The following is a 16,835-nucleotide window of genomic DNA, read 5'->3' as shown; positions in this document are numbered from 1 at the left end:
GTAGCACCTTTATACGTGCAGCGGGCCAAACGGCCACTCGGGCGGCCCCGCCCCTCAGCATAATCCCCTGCATTGTACACGGTAGGGAAGGAGGCTGGGGAGATACTGAAGGAACCGGTCTAGCCCAGCCTTAATTCTGAAAGGGCCTGGACTGGCCCAACCCTGTTCCCTCCTCGACCCTGACATTTCTAGGCACTTCTATCCACTCCACCACCAAACACATACACACGCTTTTAGAGTCCCAACTTCAAGCAGATCTCAGGGTCTCCTTTCGGTTTTTCTTCTAGGCCTACCCACCCCTTCCCCCAAGACTGACTTCTCAGTTTCTTTGAACCAACAAGCCCCAGCCCATCGTCCCCGTGGGATACAGGCTCACCACCACCCACTCCTTCCACCCACTGATGTGCCCACCCCCACCCCTGCATCCTTGCCATCCCCAGGAAGCCAGCAGCAACACAGCCCCTGAGTCCCGGGAACAAAGACAAAAGAGCTAACAGCAAAGCCGGAACTGCTGAGGTTCGCTGCCTCGAAATAAGAGGGTATGTTTAAAATTCTCAAAAGCAACCTGCTCAAAGAGGAATGCAGGCTGGAGGGGGGGTGCTCATTCTTCGGAGAGGAGAGAAGACGGGACGGGAGATGGAGTGGGAGGCAGAGGATTCAGTGCTAAGATCTCCGTCTGGGCCAGGCCCCACCCAACTCGGACCCAGCACTCTCCATCCAGTGACTCCAGTCTCTGCCCCAGCCTAAGACCCTCTCCCACACAAAAGCCTCCAACCTTGACCCCTTTTTCTCCTGCACCCTTGCAAGCTCAGGCTCCTTCCCAAAGTGCTCCCCTCCCCCAGCCCGACTCTTTCTCAGGCACCCCTGACATTGGTCACTTCTTTTGAGTGCACCCACTCAGCTTCCAGCCCCACCCCCCACCTTCCACCCCTGCTTAACATCCCCTCTTCCCAGGCCGGTGCACAAAAATGCGGAAGGCGTCTGGGCACTGGGGAGGAGAACGCAGCTGGGGCAAGCTGGCGGAAGGGAGTCCCATAACCAGGCAGAAAATCCAGAGTGACATTCTTCCCATGAACTCACCCCATTGTCCCTGGCCTCCCCTGACAACTACCCCCCACCCCCTTCAGGCTCCAGGGAAAAGTGAATGGGAGAAAATCTGCCGCATCTGTTCCTGGCTAAAGACCCTAACCGGCTTCAGGGATTTGGGAAGTAGAATTGGTTTTCAGGCTTAGAATAAGACGAATGAAGAGTAGGAAAAAAAAAAAAGTAAAACGTTAAAGAAGGAAAGGCATCACACACTTTATTAAAACAGTCAGCAGCCAAACCATCCTATGAACTTAGAGGCCTTTCAAAAAGTTCACCCTGCTGAGGAAGATGTTTAGTTTGTCAGAGTTCAGCTCAGAAACTGCACAGCACCTCCCCGGTGGACCACGAGGGGTGATGAGGAGGAACGCATGACTGGGGGACAGGCACCCCGCAGTGAAAGGATTTCGTGGGGGCTTTTTCCTTTTATTGTTACTTTCTAAGAGAAGCAGGAGGGAAGGGTTAACTTCCAGGCAGGCTAGGGAAGGAAGCGAGCCGAGGGAGAAGAAAGGGACTGAGAGGCTCCACTCAGAGGAAGCCCTAACTTGCTCTGTACTCCAGAGCAAAATGTGCTAGAGAAACAGAAGAAAGATTTCAACTCTGACCCCTAATTCCATTCTCAAGGAGAACAGGGAAAAAAACAATAGCCGACCAGGAGAAGGGAGGCGGGTTGGTGCATGGGGTGGGGGGCTTACGAAGACCTCAGAAGCTAAAAAGCAAGCATTCTTCTTTTCACTTTTTCTTTTTAAGTTTGAGAAACTTAAGACTCACTTGCTTTTTCAACAACAGCAGCAGGCAGTGGACACATTTCACCACTGTCTCCAAGAGGAAAGAAAATAATTACAGCTTCCTCCCGACCACTGGGGCAGGAGGCTTTCGTAATTAAAAAAAAAAAAAAGTAACCTCCTTAGAGCCTGGTTGTGTCCCTCAAATAACTTTTTGGGAGGGATGAGGGCCCCTGAACAAAGAATATCGGGTCCTCATTCTATCCTACAGGAAAGGGTCCCTCAATTTAAGATAGGGGCGGGGGTGGGGGGTGGCAACGCATCTCTCCTGCCTTTCGATCTGGGGCCCAGATGCGAAACCGCACAGCCTGGCTGCCCCCGTCCAGGGAATGCAGCCGGCGATCGGGCTTAAGTTACATTGATTCAGCTGCTAGGAGACCCCTCGCCTACCAAATGCCTCCCTTTTATTTTTCCATTCAACGTGGTAGCAAGAGCCCTGCTCGTTCCCTATGGAGAAATAGTAGTGGTGGTTTTCATTTTTCTCCTAAGCGACTCATCCTACAAAGTACCAAGTCCTTTCTTTCCAACTCACAACCCCAGTAGAAGGAAGGGCCCCTTGGGACGCCGGTGCCTCCTCCTAGCTCCCTCTCCTCTTCCAAGGTTCCTGGTGTCACTGGCACCCCGCAGCCTCCGCCTCCCAGCAGCGATCCCACCAGGACCCTTGGGTCCTCAAGCAGTGCCCCAAATAAGATTCGAGTTCCTACTCCCATGGATCTGACCACCGGCCCCCTTCTCAGCAAATCCCTCCTCCAGAATAGAAGTCTGGGTCCGTTCCACGCGGGTAAAACTATGGCAGCAGGGATGCCTTTCCTCTCCCCATTCATCCCCACCAAATGAGTCGCCAGGGCTCTTCCACTTGCTCTAACTCCAGTTCCCCTCCCCGGGCCTGACTTCCGCGTCCCGCTAGCAACAGTCCCCCTTGATTTGGTCCAAGGTCTCGGCTCTGCCGCCCCTAAAACCGTCCGTAAGGTCCAGCCGCCCGTCGGGCTTCTCCGCTGCCCTCCAAGTTTCTCCCAACTACTTGTTCCAGACCGCGTTACCTGCAACCTGCTCCGGGCTGGCGCCATACTCGGCGTCCCGGCGCTTCTCACAAGTGCCCTCGCCCATGACCAGCGCCTGCAGGGGCAGCTCGGAGCCCGGGTGGGGATAGCAGCGCAGCCCCTGGCCGCAGCGCGGGGTGTAGACGCCGCACGCCTCGCCCTCCAGCCGGGCGCACACCGAGCAGCAGCCGCAGCCCGGCTCCCGGACGAGCTCCGCGCATGGCATGCGGGCGCCTCCGGCCACTGCGGCCACCGCGGCGGGCGGCGCAACCGGCGGGGGCCCGCAGGCGGCCAGGCGCTCGGGTGTGCAGGGCGGGCAGCGGAACAGCACCTCCGCGCGCGCCCCGCCGCCGCCGCCACTCGCGCCCAGTAGCAGCAGCAGCAGCGGCAGCAGCGGCGGCGGCGGCAGCGGCAGCGCGGGGCAGCCCACTCTCGGCAGCATGCTGGCGGTCGGCAGCGCGGCGCGGCGGGCGAGCGAGCGAGCGGGCGGGCGGGCAGGTGGCACGGCCCTGCGAGCGCGGGAGCCGCCTCCTCCGCTTCTTCCTCCTCCCTCGCCGCCGCAGCCGGGTCCTAAAGGGCCGGCTTCTCCCCGCCCCCTGCCTTCTCCCCTCCCCCTTTTGGAGACCACTCCCTTCCCCCCCGACACTCCCTCGCGCCGGCAAGTGAGTGCGCGCACGCCCGCTCGCCCACCTCCGCGTTGGCTGCGGGCTCTGGGGGTTCCCTGCTCTTCCCGGGCCCCGTCCCTCCGCACTCTTCTGGCCTGACTATGACTCCTGAAGGAGAATACGGATAACTCGCGGGTTTGGGTAGGACCGGCGTGGCGGTGGAGAAGAGCGCGTGCTTTTGTCTGCTCTCAGTTCAGTTCGCGAGGACTTCGTTTGCGCGCTTCCCCTGTGGCCGGCACTGGGCTAACCGCTGGGGAACACAAAAGACATAAGGCTCCGTTTTGACCTTCAAGTAGATTTCAGTCGGCTCATACCAACTCCTTCCATCCTGGGGTATCACCCACCACTGACACGTGGCTTGGAACAATGACTTCTTGTTGGGTGGGTCCTGCGGAGTTTCAGACCCGTCTAGACCAAGCTAGACCCAAACAGCCCCGAATGGTCTTAGTGACTATTGCAGTTTTCCAAACCTGGGAGCTCGTGACTACAACCTATGAGAACCCTAAGTGCCCCGCAAAACCTGCCCCCTTCGTCTGCAGACCCCCTCCCTTCTCCGCCCGCTAAAATAATCCCTTAGCACCCTGGGCCCCCACCTACAAATCTCGAGGCACTTGTTGCAGGACAGATCCCAGAACACTCAGTTGCAGGGGTCTTGGAGAGGTCAGATCAGCTCTCCAGGTGTGACAGACCCGCTCTGGGGTAAGGCCATTTATGGCTGTCTTCAATAATGCAGATGGACAAGCATGACCTCCTTTCATTGTTCTGTTTGATTTACTGAGTCATCTACCCAAGCTGCCCCCAACCCCCATCATTCCAGGCTGGACTCAGCCATAATCAACCATCTCCTGGGGTGTGACCCTAACAAAGACCCCTGTCAGAGAGATTCCTTGGGTGACAGGTGGACCATTAAGCTGCCTCCACCGCAGGTTTCATCTCCCTATACCTCAGCGCCCCTCTTCCCCCCAGACCCCTCCACTCTGGCTCTTTCTGACTTCAAGGCTCAGAGCCTGTTTGATTCAGTTCAACAGCTAGTTAACCCAATGGCCACCTGGCTCTGAAGGTGACCTAGATGCCTCCAGGAAGGCAAGTACCTGGTCTTAAGACGCCAAGCTGGGAAGAGTTATCGGGAAAGACTTTGGTAAGATAAAAAATAAATAAATAAATGTTTATCAGAGGCTTTGAAGAAAAGAAATATTTTGGTAGAGAGGTGATGTGGTGGTTGAGGAAAGGGGAGTTTCTTGGGTGAGTCGGAGCTGAAATTGAAGCTTGTAATTCTACCAGAGGAAATGGGCGGTTAGCAAGGGCACAGGCAGAGGGACCACCTGAAGCAAAAACACAGAAATGGGGCCGGGCGCGGTGGCTCACACCTGTAATTCCAGCACTTTGGGAGGCCGAGGCAGGTGGATCACCTGAGATCAGGAGTTCAAGACCAGCCTGGCCAACCGTGGCCAACATGGTGAAATCCCATCTCTACTAAAAATACAAAAAATAGCCAGGCACGGTGATGCACGCCTGTAGTCCCAGCAACTTGGGAGGCTGAGGCAGGAGAATCGCTTGAACCCAGGAGGTGGAAGTTGCAGTGAGCCAAGATCGCACCACTGCACTCCAGCCTGGGTGACAGAGTAAGAATCAGTCTCAAAACACACACACACACACACACACACACACACAGAGAGAGAGAGAGAGAGAGAGAGAGAGAGAGAGAGAGAGAGAAATGGGAAAATGAGTTTGGGGATCAGAAAGTCCACTTCAGCCAGAGTGCAGGATGCTTGCAGAGAGCAGCAGGGGAGGCAGGAAATCCAGTTGACTGTGGCGCTTTGGCTTAATATGCTGGGCAGTAAGGATACAGCATCCATGTTTGAGCAGAGGAAGAGATGGACAGAGCTGGACTTCTGGAAATCATTAGCACTATGTAGAGTGCCGATCTGAAAAAAAAGTAAAAAAAAAAAAAAATCGTTAGCACTATGTAGGGTGCCGATCTGAAAAAAAAAAAAAAAAGAAGTAAAAAGCACTATGTACAGTGCCAATCTAAAAAAAATAAAAATAAGACACAGGAAGGATCATGGTCATTCCACCTTCATTCTCCCTGGTGTCTCCTGCCTGCTTTGTAACGTGTTTCTGTTGGTCCCACCCACTGAGCTCCTACAGAGTAGGCACAGGGTCTAGCACAACGCTGTCCAATAGAAATCTACTGCAAATCGCAAACGTGAGCACATGTGCAATTGTAAATTTCTAGTAGCCATATTAAAATATAGTAAAAAGAAATAGATGACATTTATTTTAATAATATTCTTAATTTGGCGGTATATCCAAAATACTATCATTTCAATGGGTAATCAACACTAAAATTAATGAGAGAGTTAACATTCCTTTTCTTATACTAAATCCTCAAGTTCTGATGTGTATGCTATACAGCACATTTCAGTTTGAAGTAGCCAAAATTCAAATGTTTGATAGCCATGTGTGGCTAGGTAGCTATCAAATTGGACAGCCCACAGGTCTAAATACTGCCTGGCACCAGGTAAGCACTCAATAAATATTTGTTGAGTGAATGAAAAGTACAGTCTCTCAAAATATTCCTGGCAGGGCCCCTCATTCTCTTTCTGTCTTAATTGCAATGCCCAGGAGCTGGGAATGAAAGGCTGTGATGAGTCTATTAAGAGGCTAAGAGTGGCATTGATTCATTCATTCCCATGCAGCTACTCACTTATCTTTTGGGATTCATTCTCTTTCCACCTCCTTTTAAAGTTCTTGATCTTTCAGCCAAGAGCAGTGGAGATGAGCAGGCAAAGTGATGCTGACTTGACAAATGCAAAGTACTCAATGATATTTCACTTTCTAATGAGCCTGAAGGCCACACCCAATTCTTTTCTCCTAGTTCCCAGGTTAATGGCCAATTTTACCCTTCCCCACCCTAAATACACGCAAACACATAACAAAATAATCCCATATTTTTAAGGCTTTTCCTAACCTCTCCTGAGCCTCACTCAGAATCCCACTCCCCAAAGGCCAGCTGCTACAGAGGCTTGAATCACAGAGCATCCTCAATCCATTGAAGCCTAGAGAAGTAGGGGGACTCAGCCCAGAACCCAGAGCTGGTTACTGGCTGGCCTACAACTTAACCATTTTGCTTATTACTGTAGGCCCAGGGCTAGAACGGTGCCTGCACAGAGATACTCAAAGAATATTTGTTGAGTGAATCCAGGTTCTCCGCTTGTTGTCTCTGGCTTTGCCCATCCCATTGTTCCTGGAGCATTCTTCACTTTAGATTTCTCATGAGTCCTCTGCAAAGGTATGTCCTCAGGCTTGAGAGCCTGTCTGTGCCCAGCAGTGAGGATTGGTTGAGAGATGGGGACAGGCTAAGACTGGTTTTCTCCCTTCCCCTTAATCCCTGCCTTTTTCCATCTCAACCACGTTTTATAAACCCCACCCTTACATGGTTTACCGTAACTAGGTACCACCTGTACTATTATTTACATAATTTTTTTAAAGTAAGGCAATTCACTCTTTTTTTTTTTTGCTTACGATCATTTTTAAAAGAAATTGTATATCACTACCATAAATGGAAATGTAGTATTGATGGCCATCTATAGATGGTAACCATAAAACACAATGAAAACAAGACAATGTTATTTGATTCGAGCTGGATACTGTTGCCTGCTGAAGCTTCTGAAGCTGGCACACTCTTCCCAAGTTAAGAAAGATGAGACAATTTAGAAGAAGCATTCAAGTTAAGTCAAACCCAAGCTGAGATTTTCTCCACTAAGTCATCAGGAGAGGAATGTTTTTTAAAAATATTTTATTGAAATATACATGCAAAAAAAAGTAGATAAACCAGATAAATATCCACAAATTGACCGCACCGTATAACCAGCTCCCAGATCAAGAAGAACATTGGCCAGGCACAGTGGCTTACGCCTGTAATCTCAACACTTTGGGTGGCTGATGCAAGAAGATCACTGGAGCCCAAGAGTTCAAGACCAGCCTAGGCAATATGGTGAAACCCCGTCTCTACAAAAAATAAAAAAATAAGCCAGGTGTTGCGCATGCCTGTAGTCGCATGCCTGTAGTCGCAGCTACTCAGGAGGCTGAGGTGGGAAAATCATTTGAGCCCAGGAGGTAGAGGCTGCAGTGAGCTGTAATTATGCCACTGCACTCCAGCCTGGATGACAGAGTGAAATGCTGTGTAAATAAATAAATAATAAAGAAAAGAACGTTGACAGCATATGGAAAACCTTTCATGCCCCTACTGGTTATTATCCCCATGCTCTGCAAGGGTAAACATTGTCCTGACTTCTGCTGGCGTGGATGAGTTTTCACATAAATGAAAACTTACAATAAGCAGTTGTTTTTGTTTTTTTGTTTTTTGGAGACAGAGTCTCGCTCTGTTGCCCAGGCTGTAGTGCAATGGTGTGATCTCAACTCCCTGTAACCTCCACCTCCCAGGCTCAAGCGATTCTCCTGCCTGAGCTTCCAGAGTAGCTAGGATTACAAGTGTCCACCATCATGCCTGGCTAATTGTTGTATTTTTCGTATGGAACCAAAAAACAGTGCAAATAGACAAAGCAATCCTAAGCAAAAAGAACAGAGTCAGAGGCATCACATTACCTGACTTCAAACTATACTATAAGGCTACAGGAACAAAAACAGCATGACATTGGTACAAAAACAGACACATAGACCAATGGAACAGAATAGAGAACCCAGACATAATGTTACAAAGTTGAGAAAATAAGCAATGGGGAAAGTACCTAGTCAATAAATAGTGCTGGGATAGCTTGCTAGCCATATGCAGAAGAAAGAAACTGGACCCCTACCTCTCACCATATACAAAACTGAACTCAAGATGGATTAAAGATTTAAGTGTAAGACCTCAAACTATAAGAATTATAGAAGAAAACCTAGGAAACACCATTCTGGACATCATCCTTGGGAAAGAATTTGTGACTAAGGCCTCAAAAGCAATAGCAACAAAAACAAAAATTGACAAGTGGGACCTAATTAAACTAAAAAGCTTGTGCACAGCAAAATAATCTATCAGCAGAGTAACAGACAACCTACAGAATGGGAGAAAATATTTGCAAACTATGCATCTGATAAAAGTTTAATATCCAGAAACAATTCAACAAGGAAAAAAGCAAATAACCCCATTAAAAAGTGGGCAAAGCCACTTCTCAAAAGAAGACAGACAAGTGGCCAATAAACATATGAAAAAATGCTTAACAACACTAATCATCAGAGAAATGCAAATCAAAACCATAATGAGATACCATCTCACACTAGTCAGAATAGCTATTATTAAAAAGTCAAAAAACAACAGATGTTGGCAGGGCTGCAGAGGAAAGGGAACGCTTATACACTGTTGGTGGGAATGTAAATTAGTTCAGCTACTGTAGAAAGCAGTTTGGAGATTTCACAGGGTACTCAGAACTATCACATTACTCGGTATATAGCTAAAAGAAAATAAATTATCTTACTAAAAAAGACACATGTGCTCATATGTTCACTGCAGCACTATTCACCATAGCAAAGACATGGAGTCAACCTAGGTGCCCATCAATGGTGGACTGAATAAATAAAATGTGGTATATATACACCATGGAATACTACACAGCCATAAAATAAAGGATGAAATGATGTCCTTTGCAGCAACATGGATGCGGCTGGAGGCCATTATCCCAAGCGAATTAACACAGGAAGAAAAAACCAAATACCACATGTTCTCACTTATAAGTGGGAGCTAAACACTGGGTACTCATAGATGTAAAGATGGCAACAACAGACGATGAGGGCTACTAGATGGAGAGGGACAGAGGGGGCAAGGGTTGAAAAACTAACTGTTGGCTACTAGGCTCACTACCTGGGTGATGGGATCGTTCATACCTCAAGCCTCAGCATCACGCCACAAACCCATATAATAAACCTGCACATGCACCCCCTGAATCTAAAATAAAAGTTGAAATCATATTTTAAAAATTCCTCCTATTTTATCATACATATATTAACCCCACTGTGAATAGCCCACGGTGAATAAAGAAGGTGTTCAACCAGAACTGGTAAATTGAGAAAAGATGGAAATTGCCAATTGTTGGCAAGGATAGGAAGCAAGTGGAACCTCCAGGTACTGCTGATAGGAGTATACGTTCATACATTTACTTGGCAAAACTTTTTGGCTCTGTCTACTGAAGCTGAACAAATGTGTACCCTATGACCCAGAAATTCCAGGTCTAGGTATGATTACAGGTATGAGCCACCATGCCCGGCCATCACAGTTTTTTTTTAAAGATGGGGTCACTATGTGTCACCCTGGCTGGAGTGCAGTGGTTATTCACAGGCACAGTCATAGCACTTTGTAGCCTCAACCTCCTAGGCTCAAGTGATCCCCCTGCCTCAGCCTCCCAAGTAGCTAGGATGACAGGCACATGCCACCATGGATGGCTCATATACTTTTTTTTCATGGAGGAGTTTTGAGTTTGAGTTTTAGTTGTTGTTTCGAGAGGAAGGGAAGAAGCACAAAAGGATAAGAGCATTGCTTGAGTGGAGGAAATGTCCTCTAGTTTTTATACATTCCCCTGGGATTTGCCAGAGACCAGCACAGCCTCCTCCTTGGTGAACCCTGAAACAGAATGAACAGGGGTGAGGACCTCTGGCTTTTCTGACCCAGTTCCTTGGTAAGAAACTCCCTAAGGGAAATCTGGGGAACATCATTATGGAAAAGATGAAGAATGGAAAAATGTGCTGTGGTGAAACTGAGGCTGGGGCTGCATGCTCCGTGGTGATTTCCTGAACAAGCAACAAGTGCCAGGTCAACAACTCGATCGATCGCTGTCATCATCTTTGTCTTCAGAAAATCTTAACCAAGCGCCTCCTCCCAGATGATAGATTAGGCTTTGTATAGCCGTGCCATCTAGAAGTTGCTGATCAGGTTGGATGACTCCACAGTGACCAAATGGAAAGGACACAAAAGAAAAGAATCAGAATCAGAATGTGGGCCCTGGAGGCAGGTAGGAGTTAAGCAAAAAAGGGCCTTGGGACCAAGCTGCCTGGATTCATGTCCACCCACTCTGCTTACTGGCTATGTAATTTGGGGCCAGTTTTTTAACTTCTCTCAGCCTCAGTTTCCTCATCTGTAATAAGGGGATGATAATAGTACCTGTTTCAGAGACTTGTTGCAAAGAGTAAATTAGGCTGGGCACTGTGTGGTTCATGCCTGTAATCCCAGCACTTTGGGAGGCCGAGGCAGGTGGATCACTTGAGGTCATGAGTTCAAGAGCAGCCTGACCAACATGGTAAAACCCCGTCTCTACTAAAAATACAAAATTAGCGGGGAGTGGTGGTGCACGCCTGTAATCCCAGCTACTGGGGAGGCCGAGGCAGGACAATCACTTGAACCCTGGAGGCAGAGGTTGCAGTGAGCCAAGATCGTGCCACTACACTCCAGCCTGGTAAATAAGAGTGAAACTCCGTCTCAAAACAACAACAACAAAACAGAGTAAATTAGGCTGGGCACAGCGGCTCATGCCAATAATCTCAACACTCCGGGAGGCCAAGGCAGAATTGCTTGAGACCAGGAGTTCGAGACCAGCCTGGGCAACACAGCAAGACCCCATCTCTACAAAAAATTAAAATTAAAAAATTTTCCAGGGATGGCAGGGGGTGCCTGTAGTCCTAGCCACTCAGGAGGCTGAGGTAGGAGGATGCTTGAGCCCAGGGATTCAAGGTTACAGTGAGCTAGGATCGCAGCACTGCACTCCATCCTGGGTAACAGAGTGTGACTCTGTCTCTAATTTTTAAAAATAACAAAAATTTTAAGAGTAAATAAAACAAGGTGAAATCCTTAACCCACTGCCTGGTATGCAACCCTCAGCCAAAGATAGTCCTGCCATTATGATTGCATTAGGCACGTGGGAGGCACCCATGTCTTTTGGCATGGTGCAGGAGTAGGTATGATGTTTAGAGTTCCTCAGTGTGAGGTCAGAAAGCACCACGTCCCCCCCTCTGTAAAGCTGGGAAGATGTTTGCAGAGGAAGGAGAAATTCAAAGGGACTACTTGGTTGGAAGGGATTGGAGTTGTTCTGCAAAGTGTAATGAGGCAAGAGAGGGAGAACTGGATGCATATTGCTTCCAGCAAGTGTGCTCAAGAGTAACAGAAAAGTAATAGAAAAGAAATAGAAGAAACCAGAGCACAGGGTCCTCAGAAGCCTGGAAGAAAGCATGGAAACCAGCCGTGGAGATTTGGAATCTTATCCGCACTGTAAGTCGAAGGCCTGGCTGGTCTGCATGGCCTGGGTAACAGGCAGGGAAGTGCAGTGACAACAGGAAGAAAGGAACAAAACTAACAGCAGTAAGTCCGTGCAGACACTTTTACAGGTGCTATTTCATTTAATTCTTACAAGGGTCAAACGATGCTTAGACAATTTAAGTGACCTGCCCGTGGTCATCCAACTAGTATGTCAAAACCTTACCTTTCCACTACTACCAGGGGAGCCAAGAAATGACAACTCTAACTCAGGACCTACTGCCAACCTCAGGGTGTGTGGCCTTGGGCATGCTGTGGCACTCTACTCAATTTCTCTGAGTTCACTCAAGTTCTTCTGAAGGATGAGGGCATTGGACTGCATGTTCTTAGGCACTGGATGAAGGAAAGATGACTTACAGAGGCTGTTTAGTGTGATTAAGAGCAAAGATTCTGAAGCCACATGACCTAGGCTCAAGTCTTGGTTCAAACTACTGTGGTAGAGCCTGCTGATGTTCACCTTTATCCCATTCTCTTTTCCTTCCTTCACACACAGAAGCTTAACTCGCACAGTCACAAGTGACTAGTTGTGGGCAGTGAGCTGTGAGTGAGATGAAGTGACCTGTCACTCCTAGCCTGAGGCAACGGAACAAAACCTACATGACTCCTCACTTTCTATCTTCTTCATGTTTTAAATGGTGAGGCTACAATATGGCAGGGTCTCCACCAGCCTGGATCCTGAGTGACTGTATGGATTAGAGAATAGAGCCTCCTGCCTTGAACAGCTAATGAGTATAAATTAAACCTCTGTTGTTTTAAGCCATTAGGATTTGAGAGGGTTGTTATTGTAATATAGGCTAGCTGTCCTGACTAATGCAACCATTTACTAGCTGTGTAAACTCGGGCAAGTTTCTTTTCTATTTTTTTCTTTTTAGAGACGGAGTCCTGCTCTGTCACCGAGGCTGGAGTGCAGTGGTATGATCTCGACTCACTGCAACCTTCACCGCCTGGGTTCAAGTGATTCTCCTGCCTCAGCCTCCCGAGTAGCTGGGACTACAGGCGTGCACCACCACGCCTGACTAATTTTTGTATTTCTGGTAGAGACAGGGTTTCACCATGTTGGTCAGGCTGGTCTTGAACTCCTGACCTAAGGTGATCTGCCTGCCTTGGCCTCCCAAAGTGCTGGGATTATAGGCGTGAGCCACCCCGCCCGGCCTACCCGGCCAAGATTCTTAACCTCTCTGTGTGTCAGTTTCCTCATCTACAAAATGGAGACACTGATAATACCTACCTCATAGGGTTGTTGTGAGCATATGAATAACAATATTTTAGGCACTTAAGACTTAAAAACAACAGCTAAAACATTTAAGTACTATGTAAGTATTATTTATCACATTTATTTTGTAGGATGTTTTTCCAGGAGCAATAGAAATTGTCAGTTTCAATTAATATTCAAACATGCAACAATAGATCCGAGTTTGCATCCTGACATTGCCACTTGCTTGTTGGATGACTTCGAGCCAGTCATCTGACTTTTCTGAGCCTCTGTTTCCTTATCTTTAATGCGAACAATAATGTCTACTTCAAAGGGTAGTTGTGAGGATCCTGTGAGCTCAGCACCTGGCATGTTGTAGGCTCAAAAAAAAAAAAACAATTCCGGCCGGGCGCGGTGGCTCACGCCTGTAATCTCAGAACTTTGGGAGGCTGAGGTCAGGAGATCGAGACCATCCTGGCTAACACGGTGAAACCCCATCTCTACTAAAAAAAATACAAAAAATTAGCCAGGCTTGGTGGTGGATGCCTGTAGTCTCAGCTACTTGGGAGGCTGAGGCAGGAGAATGGCATGAACCCGGGAGGCGGAGATTGCAGTGAGCCGAGATTTGCCACTACACTCCAGCCTGGGCAACAGAGCAAGACTCTGTCACAAAAAAAAAAAAAAAAAAATCCTTTCTTGATTTATATTTTGTAGGTAGGGAGTTTGGTGATTCTCCTCTAAAAAAAGAGATATCAAGGCACAGAAGGGAAAAGTCCAAATCTTCTACTACTAGAGGAAGCTTTCCAGACCAAAGCAATGGAACCCCACCTGGGACTAACCAGATGGCCACCCTCATCCCCTATTCCCCTCACAGCCCACACTGCCATTGCATTGTTCTCATGACCTTTCCCGTATAACAAACCATCCCAAAGTTTAAGTCTTGAAACAGCCATTTATCTTACTTCTCGTGGTTCTGTGGGTTGACTGGATTCAGCTGGGCAGTTCTCATGTGGGCTGTTTCATGTAGTTATAGCAGACGGTGTCTGGGACTGGAGTCATCATCTGAAAGCCCAGCTCAACTGACACCCAAGAGGGCTGCACACTCCCCTGGGGGCAGTGGGTGCCGGCTGCTGGCTGTCAGCTGAGCTGGCTGGTCAACAACAGCACCTGCATCTGGCTTCTCCTGTGGCTCAGGTGGCTCAGAGTATGGTGGCTGGGTCTGGGTTTTGAGAGGGAGTGTCCCAAGAGTGAGTGCTCCAAGAGACCAGATGGAAGTTGCAAGTCTTTTTTTTTTTTATTTTTTCAGACGGAGTCTCACCCAGGCTGGAGTGGAGTGGCATAATCTCGGCTCACTGCAACCTCTGCCTCCCGGGTTCAAGCGATTCTCCTGCCTCAGCCTCCTGAGTAGCTGGGATTACAGGTATGCGCCATCATGCCCAGCTAATTTTTGTATTTTTAGTAGAGACAGGTTTTCGCCACATTGACCAGGCTGGCCTTGAACACCTGACCTCAGGTGATCCACCCGCCTCGGCCTCCCAAGTTGTTGGGATTACAGGCGTGAGCCACCGCGCTTGGGCCCAGAAGTTGCAAGTCTTTTTGGCATTGAGAAGTCCCGCAGCATCACTTCCCCAACATCCTATTAGACACACGGAAGGTCAGCCCATGTTCAAGGGGGTGGAGAAATAACGAGTGGGAAAGAGATATTGTGGAGACCAGCTATGGAAAGCGTAATTGGCACAGCATCCACACCTCCTCACTGATGGGACATCTGCATAGAAGCCAAGCCTTGTTCCAAGGAGTTGAGGGGCAACCCCACTCACCCTTGTCTCCTCCGACTGCTGGTCATTCCCTGGGAAGCAAGGGACAACTGCTGCTCTCCAGAGGCAGGCCAATTTGGATAAATGAGTCAACCCTCTACCAGGCCAGGAGTCCTGCCCAGCTTCTGGGGCTTACAGTTTTACAAAGAGCACTATAGACAGAGCTCCAAGCCTTGGGTAGAGGCGCTTCCCATTAAACACATTACAAACAAATAGAAGTTTTTTCCCTCCCCTCTTGGAAGTTTGTATTGGGGTAAAGGAGTTGTGGAAATCCTTGATAGCTCAGGACAGGGGCCTTTTGCATCTGACGGAAAGGGGTGTTGAGCAAAGCATCCCTCAGCCAGAATTTTCTAGATTAGAAGTTGGCAAACTTTTGCTGTAAAGGGCGCTGTGGTAAATATTTTAAGCTTTGCAGGCTTCATGGGGTTGCAAGCACTCAGCTCTGCCATTATATCCCAAAAGCAGCCAAGGGCAATATTTAAACAAATGAGCAGGCTGTGTTCCAATAAAATTTTATTTACAAGAACAGATGGCGGCCAGAATTGGCTTACAGGCTGTAGCTGGTCCACCCCTGCTCAAGGGCTTCCTCAGTTTTAGAGAGCAGATTTTCAAAGGCTTCCGTGCCCAGGAGATAACATAGGGCCTGAAGTATCACTTCCCAGCCTGCATCCAACCAACCCCCATTAGAGCAGCCATCCATGTAACCCCAAGAAAGCCCTAGAATGCCTGTGAGAAAGGCCAGCTCCACAAATGTCAAGTTCTTTATGAGGGTCCCCACTCCCTCCCAGGATTCCAGGGTGAGGTGTTCCCAGTCCCCAGTGTCCCCAGAGGAGAATCTCAACCCAGCTGTGGCCGGGCCCTGGCAGCCCCTCTCTGTTCAGTCAGGACAAGATTCAGACGTGCACCCTGAGACGTCTTGGAGAAAGGAAGAGAGACAGGCAACAGAAGGAAGCAAAGCAGATGCCGCGAGAACGGGCCTGGGAAAGGTTTCAAGCAGAGTGCGGCATCTGTGGACAATGTGAGCTGCGCTGCGGCCTCCACTGGACAGCCCACCCCCTGCTTCCTGCTGCAGCTTTTCTTTCGAGGAACAAGACTACATCTGTTTGGCGATATTCTATTTGGAATCATTAAATAAAACTTTCAGGCCTGGCAAACAACAGCCCATCTTATTCCAATGGGGGAGCTCCTGAAACGCAGCAGACTTCTAAATCCTAAATCTGTCTGCTGGCTCCCCCCTCCCCTCCAAGCAAATCCCTGCTCGCCCCATCCCCTAGCCAGCTACTTGGAGAAAGACAGCATACTTGCCACCTTCGGCTCCTCTCAACACTAACAGATCCTTGTTTTGGAGTCTTCATGTTTACTTTTTTTTTTTTTTTTTTTTGAGATGGAGTGTCACTCTGTTGCCCAGGCTGGGGTGCAGGGGCACAATCTTGGCTCACTGCACCCTCCGCCTCCCAGGTTCAAGCAATCCTCCTACCTCAGCCCCCCTAATAGCTGGGATTACAGGCACATGCCACCACGCCTGGCTAATGTTTGTATTTTTAGTAGAGACAGGGTTTCACCGTGTTGGCCAGGCTGGTCTCGAACTCCTGACCTCAGGTGATCCACCCACCTCGGCCTCAAAGTGCTGGGATTACAGGCATGAGCCACTGTGCCCGACCTTCATGTTTACTTTTAGTATTATTGTACTTGGTTTCTCTCTCTCTTTCAGTAGCTCAATAGTCTTAGCCACACAATACTGTCTGAGCAAACTTGTCTAGGCCCCCACAATTATCTCATCTCCCTGTTACCCCCACCCTCACCCTCCTGAGGCCACTGAGAAGCAGGCAAAGCTAAACAAATAAAGGATGGAAAGCGACCCAGCCAGCATTTCCAAGGGCCTGGCAATGGGAAATTACAAGCTCACTGATCAGCTTGTCTTTACACCCCACAGACACCAGCCTGCCCCACAGAC

At 48.8% G+C, this 16,835-nt stretch overlaps 1 protein-coding gene and 1 long non-coding RNA gene across 4 annotated transcripts in view, besides 1 other annotated feature; one reads left to right on the top strand and one right to left on the bottom strand.

The window, feature by feature from the left end:
- IGFBP2 (insulin like growth factor binding protein 2) overlaps positions 1-4,046 on the bottom strand; it is a 31,609-nt gene extending 27,563 nt beyond the window's left edge. The window contains exon 1 of one of the 3 annotated variants that reach the window (NM_001313992.2): positions 3,599-4,046. Coding sequence is in view for 1 of the 3 variants with exons in the window: in NM_000597.3 (NP_000588.3) it covers positions 2,909-3,350 (442 nt within the window). In the remaining 2 variants the exon portion in view is untranslated. Of the gene's footprint in view, positions 1-2,908; positions 3,455-3,598 lie in introns of those variants that run through there. The other 2 variants (NM_001313993.2, NM_000597.3) reach the window with 2 other exon arrangements.
- Positions 4,047-14,441: 10,395 nt separating this feature from the next.
- LOC124907977 (uncharacterized) lies at positions 14,442-16,035 on the top strand. The gene is made up of 2 exons (XR_007088079.1): positions 14,442-14,484; positions 15,763-16,035. It is a non-coding gene; the product is annotated as an uncharacterized LOC124907977 (long non-coding RNA).
- Positions 15,747-16,247: an enhancer, noted in NCBI's record as "H3K27ac hESC enhancer chr2:217485350-217485850 (GRCh37/hg19 assembly coordinates)". NCBI's record gives its function as "activates a minimal SCP1, AML or CMV promoter by ChIP-STARR-seq in primed H9 embryonic stem cells {active_cell/tissue: H9 hESC(primed)}" and the evidence as "EXISTENCE:reporter gene assay evidence [ECO:0000049][PMID:30033119]".

The sequence above is a fragment of the Homo sapiens genome, chromosome 2, assembly GCF_000001405.40.
Source record: "Homo sapiens chromosome 2, GRCh38.p14 Primary Assembly".
NCBI classification, from domain to species: Eukaryota; Metazoa; Chordata; class Mammalia; order Primates; family Hominidae; genus Homo; species Homo sapiens.
This window is presented reverse-complemented; position numbering and strand designations above follow the sequence as displayed.